Source organism: Homo sapiens, chromosome 12, assembly GCF_000001405.40.
Source record: "Homo sapiens chromosome 12, GRCh38.p14 Primary Assembly".
Lineage (NCBI taxonomy): Eukaryota > Metazoa > Chordata > Mammalia > Primates > Hominidae > Homo > Homo sapiens.
Genome location: NC_000012.12, coordinates 132,572,252 through 132,591,964, shown reverse-complemented (window position 1 = coordinate 132,591,964; position 19,713 = coordinate 132,572,252). Strand labels below are relative to the sequence as shown.

The 19,713-nt window shown below is 60.1% G+C and overlaps 1 protein-coding gene and 1 non-coding gene across 21 annotated transcripts in view; both read right to left on the bottom strand.

The window, feature by feature from the left end:
- Nucleotides 1-6,776: 6,776 nt before the first annotated feature.
- Nucleotides 6,777-19,713, bottom strand: part of FBRSL1 (fibrosin like 1) — a 95,038-nt gene continuing 82,101 nt past the window's right edge. For 6 of the 20 annotated variants that reach the window (XM_011534812.3, XM_011534807.4, XM_011534803.4 and 3 more), the window contains 10 exons: nucleotides 19,621-19,677; nucleotides 19,343-19,495; nucleotides 17,807-17,875; nucleotides 17,617-17,646; nucleotides 17,401-17,472; nucleotides 15,034-15,166; nucleotides 10,449-10,652; nucleotides 10,141-10,224; nucleotides 9,699-9,903; nucleotides 6,777-8,994 (listed from right to left, as the gene is read on the bottom strand). In XM_011534812.3, coding sequence (XP_011533114.1) covers nucleotides 8,187-8,994; nucleotides 9,699-9,903; nucleotides 10,141-10,224; nucleotides 10,449-10,652; nucleotides 15,034-15,166; nucleotides 17,401-17,472; nucleotides 17,617-17,646; nucleotides 17,807-17,875; nucleotides 19,343-19,495; nucleotides 19,621-19,677 — 1,815 coding nt within the window. In that variant the 3' untranslated portion in view covers nucleotides 6,777-8,186. The other 14 variants (NM_001367871.1, XM_005266177.5, NM_001382739.1 and 11 more) reach the window with 10 other exon arrangements.
- MIR6763 (microRNA 6763) lies at nucleotides 9,904-9,968 on the bottom strand. The gene has a single exon (NR_106821.1). It is a non-coding gene; the product is annotated as a microRNA 6763 (primary transcript).

The following is a 19,713-nucleotide window of genomic DNA, read 5'->3' as shown; positions in this document are numbered from 1 at the left end:
CTCCCAAAGTGCTGGGATTACAGGCGTGAGCTGCCGCGCCTGGCCTGGAATTCCAGGGTTTTCAACACACCTTGGTGGTTTTGGAAGTAAATAAATATAGATGTGAAGAAACACAGGTAACTTTCCCAAGAGCACGAGGCACACACGACACCCAGGCTGAGCCTCCAGGGCTCCGGGAGATGGGGCCGGGCAGGGAGCGCCTGGTGCGTGGGGGCCCCGGAGGTCAGGGGCTGTGAGTGGGGACGGGCACGCGCAGGAAGCCACTGGCCTCGCCCCTGGACATCACGCTCAGGGGAAGGCCCAGCTGCGCTGATGTAATTGATGCGTGCAGGGAACGTTTGAGGGGAAAGAGGTTTCATATGGGTTCAGGCATCTTCCCCTCAATGCTCAATTACAAAACCGGGGGCAGGTGGCTGAGTGCAGGTCGGGACCAACGCCTGATGGGACAAGCTGGCATCGGGCGCTGCCGGCGGCTTCGAGGATCCCCAGCAATTCTACGTATTTCCACTCCAATGCCCACGCTCCGGAGAAAGCCAGTGAGGGCGTCCCCGAATTGCGGTCCAGAACCTTCTGCGCACCAAGGTTGTGAGAGTCCCTGAGAGGCGGGGCGGGCTCTCCCAGGAGGAAGCAGCGTGAATGCTGAGGCCCTGCACCAGGCAGGGAGCTGTGCTGCTCGTTGATGCTGGGGGGCTGCGGTGTGGACTGGGACGGACAGCCTGCCTGCCGGAACGGACAGAAGGTGCCGAGAGCGAAGGTGGAGGGTTACCAGCTCGCTCTGAGGTCAGGAAAGAGTTATGTGAACGGCGCTTGCAACTTTTCAAGCTGAAATTTTTAAAATAACAAATACAAGTTACAGATAAGCACCGTTTCTGAACCCACAGTTCCACGTTGGAGAATCAAATCCCACAAAAAATGTTTGTCCCAGAAGGTGCAGTTTGATAGACAAGACTTAATCCACGAACCGGACACAGCCACAGGGGCTGGCATCATGGAGCACCCGCGGTTCTTCCTGGAGCATGAGGAGTCCAGCTCCCTCGGACGGTTCCACAGCACAGGTAGTGTCCCCAGAGGGAGTGGCTGCTTTCCTGATCACTCATGGATTCTTTTGCTTGTGACAAGGAACATGCATCAGTCCTATAATTTCTTTTTCTAAAATCTAGGCTGGCGCAGTGGCTCACGCCTGTACTCCCAGGACTTTGGGAGGCCAGGGTGGGTGGATCACCTGAGGTCAGAAGTTTGAGACCAGCCTGGCCAACATGGCAAAACCCTGTCTCTATTAAAAAATACAAAATTAGGCCGGGTGTGGTGGCTCACGCCTGTAATCCCAGCACTTTGAGAGGCCGAGGCTGGCGGATCATGAGGTTAGGAGGTGGAGACCATCCTGGCCAACATGGTGAAACCCCGTCTCTAATAAAATACAAAAAATTAGCCAGGCGTGGTGGTGGGCACCTGTAATCTCAGCTACTGCCTGTAATCTCAGCTACTTGGGAGGCTGAGGCAGGAGAATCGCTTGAATGTGGGAGGCGGAGGTTGCAGTGAGCCGAGATTGCGCCACTGCACTCCAGCCGGGGTGACAGGGCGAGATTCTGTCTCCAAAAAAAAAATTTTAGAACAAAAATGTAAAGGAGGGAAATCCCAACAGTTGAGTTGCTGTTTCCATTTACACGTTGAACTTGATGAGCAGGGGTGCCAGATCTGCTTCTCTGGGGCAGAAACAGGAGCCGTGAGTGTCAGGCCCAGGGACCATGCAGCCTCTGGGCCGCCCAGGTGCAGACACCTGGCCCCTGCTTGGTCAACTCAGCCCTCGAGCCTCTTCCTGACTAGGAGGCAGCCGTGTCCTGGTGGCCTCCCTAGTGGCAGGGTGGGGGGACAGGCGGTCACAATCCTCAGCCGCAAGCCGCTGCAGGATTACGAGATGTGGTTCTGACCCTCCCTGCCCCCAGAACCCTCCGGCCTGGCGGCTGGATGCTGAGCCTCTCGTGGGGCTGGGGTGAGGTTTCCAGGGGGCCACACGGGCTCAGCTGTTTCCATGAGGCCTCTTTTCCTGTTTGCTGCTGTGTTCAGCAAGGCCACATCCATCCCCCCGAACCCTGTCGAAGGGGACCCTGTTCAGCTCCGAGCAGCCCCGAGACCACCCAGGAAGGAAGGAATTGGGGTCAGTGTGAGGCAGTCGGTCTGAAGCCTTCATGGTAAATATTTTATGATGCTTTCTTTTCTATCTAGAAATGAAATTCAGTTCTTAAAAGCTTCACATATAATTTTAGGGAAAAAATATCTAAGGCCCCCAAATATATAAGCCCCAAACTGTGGTATAACAGAAAAATAAAAATAATTTATAGTAAAATGTTGTGGATTTGAAGTCCATGAAGGTCTCAGGTGTGCGGATGCCGGATGTAAAATGACCTTCAGGTTTCCCAAAGGCCCCTGGGTTAGTCCAGCTCCCACCAAGAACCTGGGCCCTTAGCCAGCAGGCCAGGTGCGGCCCACCTCCCCTGCCCTGTTGACGAGGGGTGCAGGCCCCCCAGTGTCAGCCGATGACACCTCAGCAGAGACCCTCTGGTGGTGAGGGGGAACCCTGGGGAGGCCCTGTCTTTCCAGACAAGGTTGGCACTCACCATCTCCCCTTCACTGATCTCTCTCCTTGGCAGGTGGATGTAATGCCTGGAGCTACAGCAGCTATTTCATAACTATGAGGCAATGAGCAAGGAAAGGCCAAGAGAATCACAGAAATGCCAGGCCTGACTCAAGCTCCTGCAGCACCTCCTGAACCTCTGCCTCCAGAACACGTGTCCTGTGGGAAAACCCTGTGTGTTGACAGCGTCGTGGTCATAGATCCTGTACTTGCAGGCACACTCCTTTCTCTCTGGGCCTTCCCCAGCGTGTAGAGCCTGTTGGACACAAGAGCACTGGCCACTGGCCTCTCCCAGCAGCGCCATGTGCCCTTGGGCTGTGGATAGGATCCCAGCCGACGCTGCAGAGAACTCAGCGTTGTCAGCTGTGAATACTTACAGCCTGCGTCAAGATCCTTGAATTCCAGGTTCCCGTCAGTGGTAGGAAGATCTCCATGGCACGATCTCTGGAACCTGCGAGTACGTCACCTAGAAGGCCACGTCTGAGCAAATGTGATTAAAGTAAGGATGTGGAGGCTGTGCAGCTTTCCTGGATTACCCAGGTAGAGTGTAAACGCAGACTAGTCCTCACGAGAGAGCAGGGGAAGCCCCGACACAGAGGTGGCCACCTGAGGACAAGGCACGGAGAACAGGCTAGTTTGGACACCCAGGGCATTCCAGGGTCCATGCCTGTCCTGGGACTCCACTCCCTTGCTGGTGAGGGGTCCAGGCATTGCCAGGAGGAGCCCAGCAGGGCGTCTGGGAGGCTTCCTCCTTCTTCGGTGCCTTTGCCCGTCCAGGACACACCTGGCCCCTGTTGCGTGCCAGGCCCTGAGTCTCGTAGTAACAGAATGGACTTTGATGCTGTTCCTCTCTCTCCTGGGCTGGCCAGGAGTCACTGCAGCTGCTTGACAAATGTCACCCAGGTTGAGTGTTTTTAAAACCCTGTATCTATTCTATGAAGGATAGAATGTTAAAACATATATTAAAACCTTTATTTTTCTGTCAACATCAGATGTACTTCCATTTGCCTGACCGCATCTTTCAGGTCTTGTTGAAATAAAGTAGAATTTCAACTCCTGATTTTTACAGCAGGGTCAGTCTTACCCAAGTTCTAAGTTACCCAGGTTCCAAGTTTTACAGGAGGGTAACTTAGCCCAAGTTCTAAGTTACCAGGTGAGATGGAAATAGCCTGACCAAAATCCTCCAGGGCCAGGGGGTGGGTTGCTTGGACTGCTGACCTTCTGAGCTGTGTGCCCCCTCACAGTGTTTCCAGGAGCGTGTACCCTCACAGAATGCTCCCGGGAAGGGGCTCCTCCTCACAGAGTGCTCCCAGGAGGGTGCTCCCTCACAGAGTACTCCCAGGAAGGTGCCCCTCCTCACAGAGTGCTCCCAGGAGGGTGCTCCCTCACAGAGTGCTCCCAGGAGGGTGCTCCCTCACAGAGTGCTCCCAGGAAGGTGCCCCTCCTCACAGAGTGCTCCCAGGAGGGTGCTCCCTCACGAATGCTCCCAAGAAGGTACTCTTATCACAGAGTGCTCCCAGGAGTGTACCCCCCACAGAGTGCTCCTGGGAAGAAGTCTACCTTGGATTCTGCACCATCAGAGATTACTCCCCTCAAGGATGATGCCTGGGGAGGGATGGCTGCCTCAGTGCCAGGGCTGGCCCTACATTGGAAGGCAGCCCAGAGGGACTGCCTGGATGGGGTCCCCTCCCCCCTTCTCTGTGCCTCAATGCAGGCTGTGTGCTTTGACTTAAAGGCGGACATTTCACCATTTCACTCCTTCACATGGCATCCCTGGGCTCGCAGGTAGTTCTGGCCAGCGGATGGCCCTGGAGTGCTGCCCACCCTCCAGCTGCCCACCCTCCAGCTGCACTGCCGTCCTCCCTCCAGCCGCACTGCCGTCCTCCCTCCAGCCGCACTGCCGTCCTCCCTTCAGCTGCACTGCCGTCCTCCCTCCAGCTGCACTGCCACCCTCCCTCCAGCTGCACTGCCGTCCTCCCTCCAGCTGCACTGCTGTCCACCCTCCAGCTGCTGCCCTCCCTCCAGTCACACTGCTGTCCTCCCTCCAGCCACACTGCTCTCTACCCTCCAGCCGCACTGCCGCCCTCCCTCCAGCCGCACTGCCACCCTCCCTCCAGCTGCACTGCCGTCCTCCAGCCACACTGCAGTCCTCCCTCCAGCCGCACTGCCGTCCACCCTCCAGCCGCACTGCCGTCCACCCTCCAGCTGCACTGCCGCCCTCCCTCCAGCTGCACTGCCGCCCTCCCTCCAGCCGCACTGCTGCCCTCCCTCCAGCCGCACTGCCGTCCACCCTCCAGCTGCCGTCCTCCCTCCAGCCGCACTGCCGCCCTCCCTCCAGCCGCACTGCTGACCACCTTCCAGCTGCGCTTTACAGGTATGTTCCCAGATCTCTGGGGCCACAGGGCTGGGCCCTGGCCCTGCCTCCTCCTCGCCGCTGGGCCCTGGCCCTGCCTCCTCCTCGCCGCTGGGCCCTGGCCCTGCCTCCTCCTCGCCGCTGGGTCCTGGCCTTGCCTCCTACTCGCTGCTGGGCTGCCCTGCAGGGGCCTTGGGGCTTTGGGTCAGACCAGCCCCAGGGCAGAGCAGGCCTGTGTGGGTGACTAACACAATCAGCTCACTCAGGGCAGAATATGCATTCCTGGGGTCTTCCTGAAGATTAGATGCATAGGTTGGAATAACCAAGACAAGGGGACGTGAAGCATAGCCATGTGCCGTCCAGCCGCGCTGTGGGAAAGGGCAGGCTGCATAGGCAGGGGCGGCCCTAGAAGATTAGAATGCTGGATTCTTTTCTTTCTGTCTTTTTTTTGAGACAGAGTCTCCCTCTGTCTCCCAGGCTGGAGTACAGTGGTGCCATCTCAGCTCACCGCAACCTCTGCCTCCTGGGTTAAAGCGATTCTCTTGCCTCAGCTGGGATTACAGGCGAGCGCCACCACGCCCGGCTAATTTTTTGTATTTTTAGTAGAGATGGGGTTTCACCATGTTGGTCAGGCTAGTCTCAAACTCCTGATCTCAGGTGATCTGCCCACCTCAGCCTCCCAAAGTGCTGGGATTATAGGCGTGAGCCATCACGTCTGGCCAGAATGCTGCATTCTTACTGTACCTTTTCATGCGCCGGGTTACAGCTGCCGATGGGATTCAGGAGTCACATGGGGTGCAGCCCAGGAGCAATAGGCTGCCCCATCCAGGTGTGTGCCACGCGCTGTGATATTCACACAGTGGCAAAATCGCATGACACATTTCCCAGTGTCTCCCCATCGCTAAGTGGCAGCTCACCGTAAAGGCTGAAGCCCAAGTTGGGACACACAGGCCTGCAGGGTGGTGGGGCTGACTCCATAGGAAGCAAACCCTTATATAGAAGCCCCACATGGCAGATGGTCCAGGCCCCAGACAATGACCTGGTGGGGCGTGGATTGGGACCTGCCCCTCCTGCCAGCCTGGAAGGGTCTTGTGGGACGCAGGGCACTCCTTGCTGGGCGCGCGGTGGGCCCACGAGGCCTCCTTCTTAGGTTGCAGCCCTGGGGCCCCTTAGTGAGGAGTGAATTGGCAGGGACAGGGTGGGGGTGACACTCAGGTCAAGGCCAGGTGTGCACCTGGAGCTTTCCTGACCATCACTCAAGGCAGGTGGGCCTGGCGCTCACTGCACTGGAGGGTGGGGGCTGCCACCTCTGCACCTGGCTCCTGCCCTCTGAGCTCCTGTTCCTTCGGGCACAGCCAGGGCAAAGCCAATCCCACAAGTCCCTGCGGGGCCAGAACTCTCTGGCACAAAGGCGGGAACTAAGAGCACCTTCTATGCAGAAAACCCCGTGGATGTGAGGGAAGGCGGCCAGCGGGGTCGCTGGGGGTGGGACGACGGGAGGCCGCGTGACACCCCCAAGAACGAAGGAGCACAATGGGGCATCCGGCAGAGCCAGGAGCTGGGGTTTCCACCGGGAGAGGTGGCACTGGGGGAGGGGGCTGGGCAGAGCCGGGGTGGCAGCAGGGCTGGGAAGCTGGGACCTGCTGTGCTTCACTTCCGGGGCGATGGCACCGGACAGCGTGGGGCCGCCGAGGCGCCCAGCATCCCAAGGTGCTGCAGGAGGGACGCACGGCTGCAGGGGTCAGCCTGGGTGAGCCTGGCCCCCCAACACCACAGAACACGCGACCACAGTTTCATCCAAATCAAGGCTGTATTTATCGTCACTGATTGACATGGGAACAGAATATTTAAAACAAACAGGGTCCACCGTGGAAATGTGGCTGAAACACAGAACTGAGCAAAGCAAGTGGCTCGACGGCTGACCCCGAAGGCTGGGAATCCCGGCAGGGACACAGCCCAGACATCGGGGAACACAAAAGGCCGCAAGGGGGGCAGGGCATGGGGGGGCTCATGTGGGTGAGGGCAAAACCCAAACTGAGAGGAGGCCAGGCCAAGGGCCTGGGAGGCGACGACCACACCGAGGTGACGCTGATGCCTCAGGCGGAAGAAAACACACAGCAGTGATTTTGTGTGTGTGTGTGTGTGTGTGTGTGTGTGTGTAAAATCAGCCTTTAGACTCTTGCACTTCTATACCTCCACCGATCTGGTCTACAGATTCCAAGAACACTGCACCATCCACACAAACGTCCACAGCATCGCCCTTGCGGCTGGAGCCGGCCAGTCCTGAAGCCCACAGGAGCCGCCCAGGAGTGCTGTTCTGCTGGCCCAGGGGCTCTGCTGGGGGACCCAACCCCTCCACGGACCCAGGGGCTGGGAGGTCGCTGGCGGAACCTTCCTCCCCCAACCAGCAGAGCCGCCGGGAAGCGCTTGCATAGTTGAAGGAAAGTTGCTGCCATTAAACTTCTGATAATGTTTACAGCCAGCAGCGCCTGGGTTTTTGTGACCATGTTAGACAAACAACCAGAGGGGTTTCTGGAAACGGTTTTTATAAAGTCTATCTAGATTAAGAATTTAGTAACGTCATATATTTATATCAACAGACTATTTACACGTTTCGTTTGCTTTTAAAAAAACAAACCAAAAAAGAAATTACACTTCTGCATAATAAGGCAAAAAAACAAAGTTTTGTACATTATTATTTTAATATAATCTGTAACTTCGGTTCCAAGTACCAAGGGGGGGCCAGGGCTGGCCTGAGTGGGGGCCTCACAGTGCGCTGGACAAAGTGACCGGTTTTTCTCCATAAATAAGACAAAGAAACCCTGGGGATCTGGAGAAGGATCTGAGGCCATTAAACTGCAAATCCCAACCGAAAACGAAGAAGCAAAAGTTTCTTTTTTGGTTCTTTTAAACGTCTAAAGAGCATAAAATTAAGAAAAATACAAATCCATTACAAACACTTCTCATCTGTGGGGGGAAAAGGTACAAACGCGATTTTTTTTTCCCAACAGCCGAATCCCAAACTCGGAAAACAAAAGATCACCCTCAGAAAAGCCGACACCCAAGTCCCCGCCTCCGCAGGCTGCGGGTGGAGAGGCGGCGCCGCCCCAGGATCGGCGGGAGCTGTGCTTGAGTTCTAGGAACTGATGGAGAGACGGACAGCGGTGCGCTCCGCTCGGAGAGGCGTCTGCGGCCCCGGGGCTACCGCGCCTCCACCTCCGGGGGATTTCGGGACGGGGAGTAGTCGCGCGCCTCGCCCGGCCCGAGGCCCCCCAGCGGAGTAGTCCGGCTCCGCGGCGGCCCGGGGGGCGTGGGGGGCCCGGCCGCCGTCACCAGGGGGGGCGGTGCGCCGAGGGCGGCGGCGGCGGGCGGGGTCCGCGCCAGGAGCCCATTGTGCAGCGCGGCGGGCGAGAGGCGCGGGAAGTGCAGGGCTCCCAGCGAGGGCAGCAGCGCGCCGTCCAAGGCGGGGGCGGCGGGCGGCAGGTGCGGGGCCCGCGCGCGCTCCAGCTCCCCGCGCAGGCGCTCGGGGCTGTAGCCGTGGGGCTCGCGGTCGCGGTAGGGGCGCTCCGGGGGCTCCAAGAGGGCGGCGGAGCCCGGGGCGGGGGCGGCAGCGGGGAAGGCGCGACGTGGCAGCTCCAGGCCGCGGAAAGGCTCCCACGCGAAGCCCGGCGCGCCCAGGCGCTCGCGGCCCAGGCCGAGCTGCAGGGGCGCGGGGTGCAGGCCGCCCGCCGGGGGCTCGGAGGCCTCGTCCTCCCCGCGCTCCTCCTTGACCTTCACGTCTCCAGGGGCCGCCTTGCTGTGGGGCGGGGATGCGCGCGCGGGCATCTTGGCGGCCTCCTCCTTGGCCGGGGAGCGGCTCTCCTTGACCCGAGGTTCGGCCTCGCGCTCCGCGGGGGCCCCGGACCGGCCCAGCTCGCTCTGGGCCCGGAGCAGGAGGCCGCTGACGGGGTGGCCAGCGGGGGTGGCGGGCGAGGCCCGGCTCAGCAGGCGCGTCTTCTCCAGGAGGTCCCTGGGGGCGGCAGGGCGGACCCGTCACTCCCGAGACCTCCGTCCTGCCGCGCGGCGCAGCCCCGGGATGTTCCCGTTGCTTGTCGGGGCCTCCAGTTTCTGGGTGGCCGGTGACCCCTCAGCACCCACAGCTCCCGCACCCCCACAGGCTCCCAAAACCTACGCGTCCTCTCCCCGCTGGGCGGCCTGGAAACCTTGGCCGGGAGACGGAAGCGGGATGAGCCGCCTGCAGCGACTTCGGCTCCCCACGGGCCCCTCCCTGTTAGGACAGGGGGGCCTCCCGGCAGCCGCACCCCCGAACTCCTCCCTCAAACTCCGTGGGTCAGGGCGCGGCCACCTGGAGGTCTCCCGGATGGCAGGTGTGGGTGCCTGTGGTGGGGTCTTCACCCTCCTCATCCTTCCTAGCCCCAGGGCCCAGGCTTCACTCCCCACCGCAGGGAGGAGTCGCCGGGGAGCAGAGCTTTGGCCCCCGTACCCCGGGGCTCAGCAGAGCTGGACAGACTGTGAGTGCGCAGCAGTGGGGCGAGGAGGGTGAGAGGGAATGGGGGAGGGGGAACGGGGAAGGGGAACAGGGGGAGGGGGAACGGTGAGGGAGAGGAAACGGGGAGAAGAGGGAACGGGGGAGGGGGAACCGGGGATGACGGGAGGGGGGAAAGAACGGGGTAGGGGTGTGTGGTGGGGATACGGAACAAGAGGGCCACTCACCGTTCCTGCTCCTCCTTGCCATTGTCCGGCTCTCGGTCATGGTTGGTCAGGGCTGACACCCGCTCCGCGTCCACGGACTTGGGCCACGGGGGCGGAGCCGGGAAGGAGGGCGGTGCCCGGTGCAGTCGGTTCCAGGCCTCATGGGGGCTGGGCAGGCCGTGCACGGAGGAGCCCTCCTTGGGGGCAAAGATGCTGCCACCGGGAGCTGGGGGCAGAGGCCGGGGAGCATGAGGTTGGGTCTGTCTGCTCCCCAGCCACTCCCCAGGAGAACCCGGTAGGGGTTTTAGAAGGGTCCCAGGCTGACACTGAGAAGGGGGTGCCCCAAGGAGGCCCAGCCCAGAGAGGAGGGAGGTCAGCCAGGCATCGGGGTTCCTGCAGAGGACACAGGCATGGGGGAGGGGCGCGGGCATCGGGGGAGGGGGGCACAGGCTGGGTCACTCACCCAGTGCATGGCTGCCCAGGCCCCCAAAGGCGTGGCTGCTCAGGCTGCCCAGGCCCCCAAAGGTGCTCGGTCTGCTGAAAGGGTCTGTGGGGGCAACCGCGGGACCCAGAGGTCTGTGAGGCGTGGGCTGCGGCTCCCACCTGGCCCAGTGGGGGCTGCTGTAGAGGCTTTGGGCCTGGTGGGTACTGCCTGCATGACCCAAGGGGCTCCCTGGGGCTCGGGGCCACCTTCCCGCCCACCTAATTCCCCCGCCACAAGGCTGCTGAGGAACCAGCCAGGCTGCGTGGGCTGAATTCAGAGACACCCACCTGTCAGGGGGCCAGTGGGCAGGAAGCTGCCAGGATGGGCTGAGGGTCCAAATGGGTTGGAGGCAGGATGGGCGGCACCTGGGGGGGGCAGCCAGGTTTGACAGAAGCCAGGAGAGAGCACCAGGGCCTCCCATCTGCAGCTCTGTTCACAGGGAGCACCCCAATTTCCTCTGTGAACCTTCACCTCCCATTCTCTCGCATGCCCTGAGGGGTGAAGCGTGTCCAGTCAGAGTAAGAGGTGGAATCTACCCCACAATTCGGAGGAGGTTTGACTTGGAGCCGCAGTGGCAGCCATCCTGGGACCCCAAGGGGGGCAGGGAGGGAGGTGCTGAGTGCGATGCAACCCTCGGAGCAAAGGGGCTGCAACTTGGGCAGAGACAAAGTCCAAGTAACATGCACCTTGATCGGACCACTCCTGAAGCCTTTATCTCAGAGCTTTCACCTGGGAGCTGATAGATGGTCCTCACTTCTTAATGTGGTGCTGGGCCTCAGGCCTGGATGGACACGGTTCTGTCTTGGAGGCTGCACATGGCAGCCCCTTGTGGCATTCCTGGGCACAGGCCCAGCCCACAGCACCACGTCAACATCAGCCCTGGCCCCCCAACAACCCTTGGAGAGCAACCGTGTGGGGCCTGGGCCCGGGCCCTGGGAGGGGCTGCTGCAGGGGATTCAGTGCTGTTGGTCAGGGGCCGTCCTCCACATGGGTCCAGAGAGCAGGTTTCTGGTAAAGACCAGCAGGGCGTCATCTTTAGGTTACTCCGACTCCCTCCCAGCCCTAATCTTAGGGACCTCAAAGATGGGGTGCTCATGCCTCCCATGTAGGACGCGGCAAGTTGTATTCAGAGCTTCTGGTCTCCACTGAGCTGTGGCATGAAAGCTGATGCCACTCTTCTAAACTAGAGAGGAAGACAGCCTGCCCCATGCTACGAAAACACAGCTTGTCAAAGCGTGTGCAGGAGGAGATGGAGAGTACACTGCCTCAAATGCCCGCACTGGGAGAGGCTGAGGAATTAATATTCTCAACCACCAGATCAAGCTAGACAGGGCCAGAAAAGTGAGCGACACACAGGGAAACACACAGAGAAGGCAGCGAGGTCAGAGCTGCTCCTTTAAAAATACTGGTGAAATTGGCCGGGCGCAGTGGCTCACGCCTGTAATCCCAGCACTTTGGGAGGCCGAGGCAGGAGGATCATCTGAGGTCAGGAGTTTGAGACCAGCCTGGCCAACATGGTGAAACCATGTCTCTACTAAAAATACAAAAATTAGCCAGGTGTAGTGGCGCCTGCCTGTAGTCCCAGCCACTTGGGAGGCTGAGGCAGGAGAATCGCTTGAACCCGGGAGGTGGAGGTCGCAGTGAGCCAAGATCGCACCACTGCACTCCAGCCTGGCGACACAGCAAGACTTCGTCTCAAAATAAATAAATTAAAATAAAATACTGGTGAAATGGACAAACTTCTGGTGAGATTAATGAAGGAAAAAAGACGACACAGCCAAGCAACATTAAGAATTGCCAGGGCCTGCGGAGTTCAGGCGTGACGGATGGACACCGACAGCTACGGAGCCTGCCCCAAATCAACTTACTGGAAACACTCGCGTTACTGAAACCGATGCCAGAAGAAACAGCTTGAGGAATACCACACCCAGTGGAGAAAAAAAATCAGTACTTGGAACCTGAACTGTGAGCCTCCAAGCCTTGAAGGCAGTGAGGATCAGACCTCACAAGAGCTCTTCCAGAGAGCAGAAAAAAGGAAAGCGCCTTAACTCACTGAAGACGGCAAAGAGCCCTCGTGACAAAACCTGCCAGGTGCAGCACAGGAAAGTAAAGGCCAGGCTTACTCAGGAAACTCATCTGGAACAAAGCGCTGGAACAGTGGCTCCAGAAACGTACCGACAGTTTACACAAGGGGGCAAACCACCCACTCCTAGATATGACTTTCTACACAGAAAAGGTAAAGGAATTGACAGACAAATGTCTTTGCATTCGTAAGAATTTAGCAGGATTGCTAGTTACAGCATCAAGAGATGGCATACAAATCTTCAAAACAGATACGCACTTCTGTTTTCTAGCAACAGCTTAAGAATGTAACTTACAAATTCCAATCATAATATTAGTAAAATATAAAGCATCTATGAGTAATTCTACTAATACCTAAATAAATGAGATACACCATGATCAGGGATAGGAAAATGATACCGGAGATGACGTACGAATCCCTCTTAGGTCGATGTACCCCTTTAACCCAACTCCAGTGAAAGCTGGAACCTAACAGGCAGATTGAAAGTTTATATGGAAGAGAGAAAAGAGCAACAAGGAATCATCCTGCCCCCTGCCAGCAAGATATCAAGACCTGCCAAGGAGATGGAGGAGGCAGCACTGGCCCCGGGACTGAGGGGGCCCAGCCTCGCAGGACAAATGGCAGAGCACCGAGGGACAGCCACCAGGTATCCAGAGGAGGGAAGGGGAGGCGGGGGAGGAGCAGGGTCGGTGGGGCGGGCAGTGTGGAGGGCCCAGAACTGGGCGCCACACTGAGCACGTGTCCGGGGGGCTTGAGCCAGGATGCGGACAGCCAGAAACTGCAGCCTGGACTTCTGCTTTCTGAGAAAGCCAGACTACTGGGATGCTCCATGGCCCAGAGGCCACCATGCTTGTGAAGCCAGCCTCATGTGGCTGCTGGGCACGCCCATCACCCTTATGTGGACAGGGCTCTGCCTTCACACGTCCACATGCAACGTGCCATCAAATGCTCATGAACATGGAAGAGACCAAACACGGTGAGGGGAGAGTGAGGGGGGGCTGCAGCGGGGGTTGGGAGCTCTGAGGAAGGGACAGGCCTCAAGGACCTGGTGGCTGGGAAAGGTTCCATCAGCAGGACAACTGGGCAACGCAGTGCCCATGTGTGTGCCTGTGCCTGTGTGTACGTGTGCCTGTACACGTGGGTATGTACGTGTGCATGCAGCTGACCCTTGAACAACATGGGTTTGAACTGTGCGGGCCACTTAGACACAGATTTCCTCCCATCCCTGCCACCTGAGACAGCGAGACCGGCCCCTCCTCCTCCTCAGCCCACTCCGTGTGAGGACGAGGATGAAGACCTTTAGGATGATTCACTTCCACACAGCGAATGGCAAATATCTTTTCTCTATGATTTTGTGTGTGTGTGTGTGTGTGTGTGAGACAGGGTCTTGCTCTGTTGCCCAGGCTGGAGAGCAGTGGTGCAATCACGGCTCACTGCAACCTTGACCTCCTGGGCTCAAGCGACCCTCCTGCCTCAGCCTCCTGAGGAGCTGGGACCACGGGCGTGCGCCACCACGCCTGGTCATGGTCTGCCTCATAAGGTTTTCTTTTCTCTAGTGGACTTCATTGTAAGAATACAGTCCATCATACATGTAACACACAAAACAGGTGTTCAGCAACTGTTTATGCTATCGTAAGGATTCCTGTCAACAGTAGGCTAAGTTTCGGGGGAGTCAAAAGTTATACCTGGATTTTCAACTGTGTGGTGGGGAGTGTCCCAGCCTCTGTGTGGTTCAAGGGTCAGCTGTATGTGGATGCTCATGCTTCACGTGTGCGTACACGCGTGGATGTGGATGTGTAACTGTGTGTAACTGTGTATGTGTAGAAAGGCGTGCACCGTGCAGGCTGAGACACCATCTTTGGAAAGGTCTGTGCACACAGCTGGCCCTCAGCCAGCCTCTAGGCACCCAGACTGTGTCCATCCCACACTGTGGGTTGAACTTCGAGCCCACTTTCCTCCTGGGGGCCTGTGCCAGGCAGTGGTGCCTACAGATCAGCACCCCAGAGTCTTCGTGCCTCTGCGTGCCTGGAGGATGACACTCGGGTGTGGTCACGTTGTGTTGCTGGGGGAGGGGTGACCCGGGGGAGGGGGTGACTCGGGGGAGTGGGTGACTGAGGGCAGGGAGGCCCTCGCTGCTCCCGGCAGATCCCACCCTGGGCCGTGCTACTGAGGACAGTACAGGCCAAGTCCTGGAACCCTTCCTAGGAAACCACCGCAGCTGGGCCCGTCCTGGGACCCCGGGAGCAACCATGCATGTGAGGAAGGGGCACTGGGGTGTGGGCCCAGCCTGGCCTCAGGAGCAGCTTCCTACTGTTCAGCGAGAGGCCAAACTCCTCCTGGGAAAGCGGGGGCTGGGAGACAGAAAGGGGCAGCCTCGCGTGGGCCTGGGTCCCTGCCATTCCTTTGCCTCTGGTGGGGCCAGAACAGGGAGCCCCAGGGAGGAGGGGTGGCCAGGACCAGCCGCCTCAGAGCCGTGTGGCGTGGGCTGAAGGCCCCCCAGGACACACTGGGCAGGACTTGGTGGGGAGGAGCAGCAGCCCCAGGCCCAGGTCCACCCTGGGGAGGCTGGTGGGGAGGACAGGAGAGGAGAGGTGAGGAGAAGAGAGGTGAGGGGTGGGGTGAGGTGAGGGAGTTGCCAGGCTTTGACCTGAATAAGTGGTGAGCATCAAGAAGCAAAGGCTGGTGCTGCGGTCCAGAGAGCGCTCTCACTCCTGGCACAGGAAGGCAGGCTCAGCTGGGCACGAGCGGGAGGTTTCTGTGCCCCCCACCTGGCCCGACTCCAGTCTCACCTGTGCTGGGGAAGAGGGGCCGGGCCAGGTCCTGTGGGTAGTGGAAGCCTGCAAACACGCCCGGGGCAGGGGGTCTGCCGAACAGGTCCAGCTTTGCACCCACCTCCAGCTTGTGGGGGTCCAGCTGCATCTCCTGGGAGGATAGAACGGGTGAGGGCCGCCTGCCCGGGGACTGGCCCTGAACACAGGGAGCCCAGGCCTGAGGGGCCACAGGGACTGGGTGTGAGCCAGTCCAGTAAGGGGAGCAGGTGGGATGGATTTCAAGGGTGTATTCTCTACTCAGGATGACGGAAATGTTACACATGATCAGCAAAAAAGCTGAACGGGAGAGCTCACGTCCTCTGAACTGTGGTACGTACTTGGCACATGGCAGCTGGGATGCTACGCTGTCATGGAAAATAACTTACTTTTTTTGTATTTAGATTCTTTTAAAAGTTAAGGCCAGGCACGGTGGCTCACGCCTGTAATCCCAGCACTTTGGGAGGCTGATACGGGCGGATCACCTGAGGTCAGGAGTTCGAGACCAGCCTGGCCAACATGGCGAAACCCCGTCTTTACTAAAAATACAAAAATTAGCTGGGCGCAGTGGCGGGCGCCTGTAATCCCAGCTGCTCAGGAGGCTGAGACAGGAGAATCACTTGAAGCCGGGAGGTGGAGGTTACAGTGAGCCGAGATCATGCCACTGCACTCTAGCCTGGGTGACAGAGCGAGACTCTATCTCAAGAAAAAAAAAAAGAAACTGAAAAAGCATGCTCACGTGCCCAAGTTGTTCCAAATATGCTGAAAAGTTTCTCAGTGACTGAATTTGGTATCAGTTTTCAAAGTTAAATGTGTTAAAAATTATATGAAACTACAACATGTGCCCCTCACCTGCACTGGCCACACTTCAGGTGCCCACGCTGCCAGGCGGCTGTGGGAGGCAGGGCCAGGCTTGGGTGGAGACTGGGGATGCCCATGCCCTCCCATGGGAGCAGAGGGGCCCAGAGCCAGGAGGGGTGTAGCCAAACAAGACCCCACTGTCCTGGTGACTGCGCTGCCTCTGCCTGTCCTGCCTCTGACCCGCACTCAGGCTGGCCTGGGCCGGCCCCTCCTGGTCCCTGCAGTGTGCTCTGGCACTGGGGTGGTTTCACTGGCCATGATGATGCTGGGGTACTCTGGCACTACGTGGGGGCAGGCGTGAGGGCTGGGCAGACCCTGTGTGCGCCCTCTCCCTGGACCGCCGGCCTCTTGCAGGATCTGCCCTCCTCTGTGGAGCAACCATGCCCCGAGTTCCAAGGACAAAACCAGGAGTGATGAGGTCTCCCGACTCTGCCGTGGACGGCCCCCCACCAGGAGCACCTGATCCCTCTGCTGTGTGTCCAGAAGTTCCACCCAGACATGCAAGTATAAAGACATGCAGCATTCTGGCCGGGCACAGTGGCTCACGCCTGTAATCCCAGCACTTTGGGAGGCCGAGGTGGGTGGATCATGAGGCCAAGAGATTGAGACCATCCTGGCCAACATGGTGAAACCCCGTCTCTACAAAAAATACAAAAAATTAGCCGGGTGTGGTGACGGTCGCCTGTAGTCCCAGCTACTCGGGAGGCCGAGGTAGGAGAATGGCGTGAACCCGGGAGGCGGAGCTTGCAGTGAGCCGAGATCGCGCCACTGCACTCCAGCCTGGGCGACAGAGCGAGACTCCGTCTCAAAAAAAAAGAAAGACATACAGCATTCTGCTCTGAGTCCCGTCCCAAAGGGCATTTAGGACAATGATTTTTCAGAGTTGTGTGCGGAGGTGACGTGCGTCATCAGGACAGCGCAGGGACAGCAGAGGTGCAGGGTCCCACGGGGCTGAGGCAACAGTCCCCCTGTCCTGGCCTCCCAGGACCCTCTCCCGCTCCCGCAGCTCCTAGCCTGGTGGGACCTGCACCGAGCTGCCCGCGGGGCTCCCGCCTTCCTCAGCCTTCCCAGGTGCACATCAGTTGTGAGCACTCACGGTCCCCCTGGGTCACTGCTGAAGACCGAAGAACACAGCAGACACTCAATCACTGTGGGGAGTGGGGGCGGCAGAGGACCCCAGAGGCACCCCAGTGACGTGGGGAGCTGGTGCGGCACCCCGTGCCCCTGCTCTGCTCCCCGTGGCCCAGCCGGCACACCTTGCCGAGGAGAGGGCCTTGCGGCACCCGGGCACCCAGCACTGCCCTGTGGCCTCGCTGACCTGCTTACGGTAAAAGCCCAGTACCCAGAGGAAGGGGCAGGCGGCTCACGCGTGAGGATCACACCCGTGCACACGCGTGTGAACACACACAGCCTCATGCCTGGCCTTCAGGGCCCGACCAGGCTGGAGTCGGGTTCACAAGCGCCCTGCCCCAGCCCAGGTGGTCTCACCTTTATCTTCTGCTGGTGACGGTAGATCTGCCAGGCGATCTGCACGTGCACGGCACACCACCTCCCCGGCTTCTGCGACAGGATGGAAGCGCTCAGTGGGGCTGGTGCCACCCCCACCCATGTTTTCTGCAGACTCCTGCTGTCACGGGCCCCCCGAGGCCGCCCCGGGGGCACCAGAGTCCTCCCTTGCCACGGGCCTTCCCAACACGTGCTCACCTTGACCACCGCCCGGTACGGGTCAGACACCTGTGGAGACAGGAAAGGAGTGTGAGGTCCGGGCCCCTCAGGAGGCTGAGTCCTGGGGGTGCAGGGGACACAGCCCGTCTGCTGTGGCCACCAGCCCGCACAGGGCCCGGCCGGGGCAGGCCATCCCCCGGGGTGGGGACGGGCGCCCACTAACACCTACCCCAGGCGCTTTCTGCAGGAGTGTGTGAACCGCACCAGCCCGGCGGGCCACCTCAATGGGGCTTGAAGTCTGAGGGGAGAAAGAGACAGCTTGTGTGCGCCTGGGGCCGCCCAGGCAGGAGGACGCCTCGGGCTTCCTGGTTCTGGCGTGGGCCTGTGCCCTGCTTTGCCTTGCCGTGGGGCCCCGCACGCTGTCTCCCAGGGACAGCCTGCCCTCCCTCGCAGGACCACCACACTTTTGGCCCGCCAGTTTCTGCAAAGGTGGGAAGCAGGTGCTCTTGCCAGGGAAGGTGGGCGACCCTCCCCGGGGAGCCACTTGCCACCAGGGCCGAGACAGCCCCACCCAGAGGGGGAGTGGTGCACACCTAGTCTCCAGCCCAGGAGGAGCTGCTGTGAGCCTGGATGGGCCAAGGGGAGATGGTCGTTTCCCACCAGGGGCGCCAGGGAAAGGGGGGTCCCACAGCAAAGACCGGCCATCACACCACAGCCCCCTCCTCCCCAGACTGGCTCTACCGCCCCTTCCCTCTGGGCTACCACCCTGCCCAGAAGCAGCTGTGCTCGGGGTGCGGCCGGGACAGATTCCTTCCCTCCCAGACTCAGGGCCTCAGCGTCCTGGCTGTCTGGGCTCAGGGCAGTACCCCCGAGTCCCAGTCTGGGGGTCCCTGCTCGACACCTGCAGGTGGGCCACATACATCCCTTCTCCATTCCTCTGAATTCCTCAACCACGGGGTCTGGGGGTCCAAGACCCTCTAGTGCCCAGGGGTGCCTGGTCCTCGGAAGCACTATCTGCCCGTCCACGATGTGGGCGGTGCCCCAGGGGAGCCCAGGGGTGCGTGCTGGGCCCTTCAGGGCAGCTGTGGGCAATGAGTGGGCGCTGCAGGATCCTGGGAGGTCAAGGGCTTGGCAGCTACCGGGGATGGTCCAGGCCCCGTCTTCAGAACCTGAGGCCCACAGGTGAGGCGGCTTCAGGACTGAGAGCTGTGTGCCCCTCCGCAGAGGGTGGGGTTACAGCACAAGGCCAGGAACAGTGAGGAGGGTCACGGGGTTCCCTCTCCCCTGGCTGAGATGGCACACAACCTCCTGCTACCCAGGTCCCCTGCGGGTGTGGACGGCCCCGTAAGGCCCGGGTCCCCCACGGTGTGGACGGCCCCGTAAGAACCTCCTCGCAGTGTGGATGGCCCCGTAAGAACCTCCTTGCGGTAAGGACGGCCTGTGAGGCTGCTGTCCACACCAGGGCCTCCTGCCAAGGACTGGAATGTTCTCCTTCGAGGCTTCCACAGTGTGCTCTCCACACGGTCCCACCACCTCCCAGGGCTGCTCCCAGGCTGGACCCCCTGTCCCTCCCACGGTGGCCACACACAGACCGCAGGGCCCCCCATCCTGGCAGGGGCTGCTCACGCCAGCACCCAGATGACGACAGGTACAAGGGAGGGAAAGGGGGGTGGTTGTGGGCAGAGAGTTTGGCGAGGTTGTCATGCACTCCCCCCAAAATCCACCCACCCGCTGTGCCCGCCCCACCTGCCAGGGGCAGCGGTACCTTAGGCTGAAAAGCGCCCTGCAGGGACCCGAAGGGGCCGGGGTGTGGGAGCAGGGTGGGCAGTCCCGGGATGGCAGGAGGGAAGGACGGGAAGAACTGTAAGAGAAGGAGAGCGGATGGAGGGGGGGCCCAAGTCCTCACCCCACCCTCTGCCTGTAACCAGAAGGTGGCACCAATGCAGCAGGGGCGAGGCCAGGCGAGGGGCAGCCCCACCCACCGCCCCGTGGCCAGGACCTGCGTGCACAGCGACACGCGCCGGGCCCCTCGGGGACACTCACACTCACGCTGGAATGTCGGAAGTAGGGGCTGTCCAGCTTGGGCGCATACTTGTCAAACTGGAAGGGAAGGAGAGGAGGGTGAGGCCCCGCACA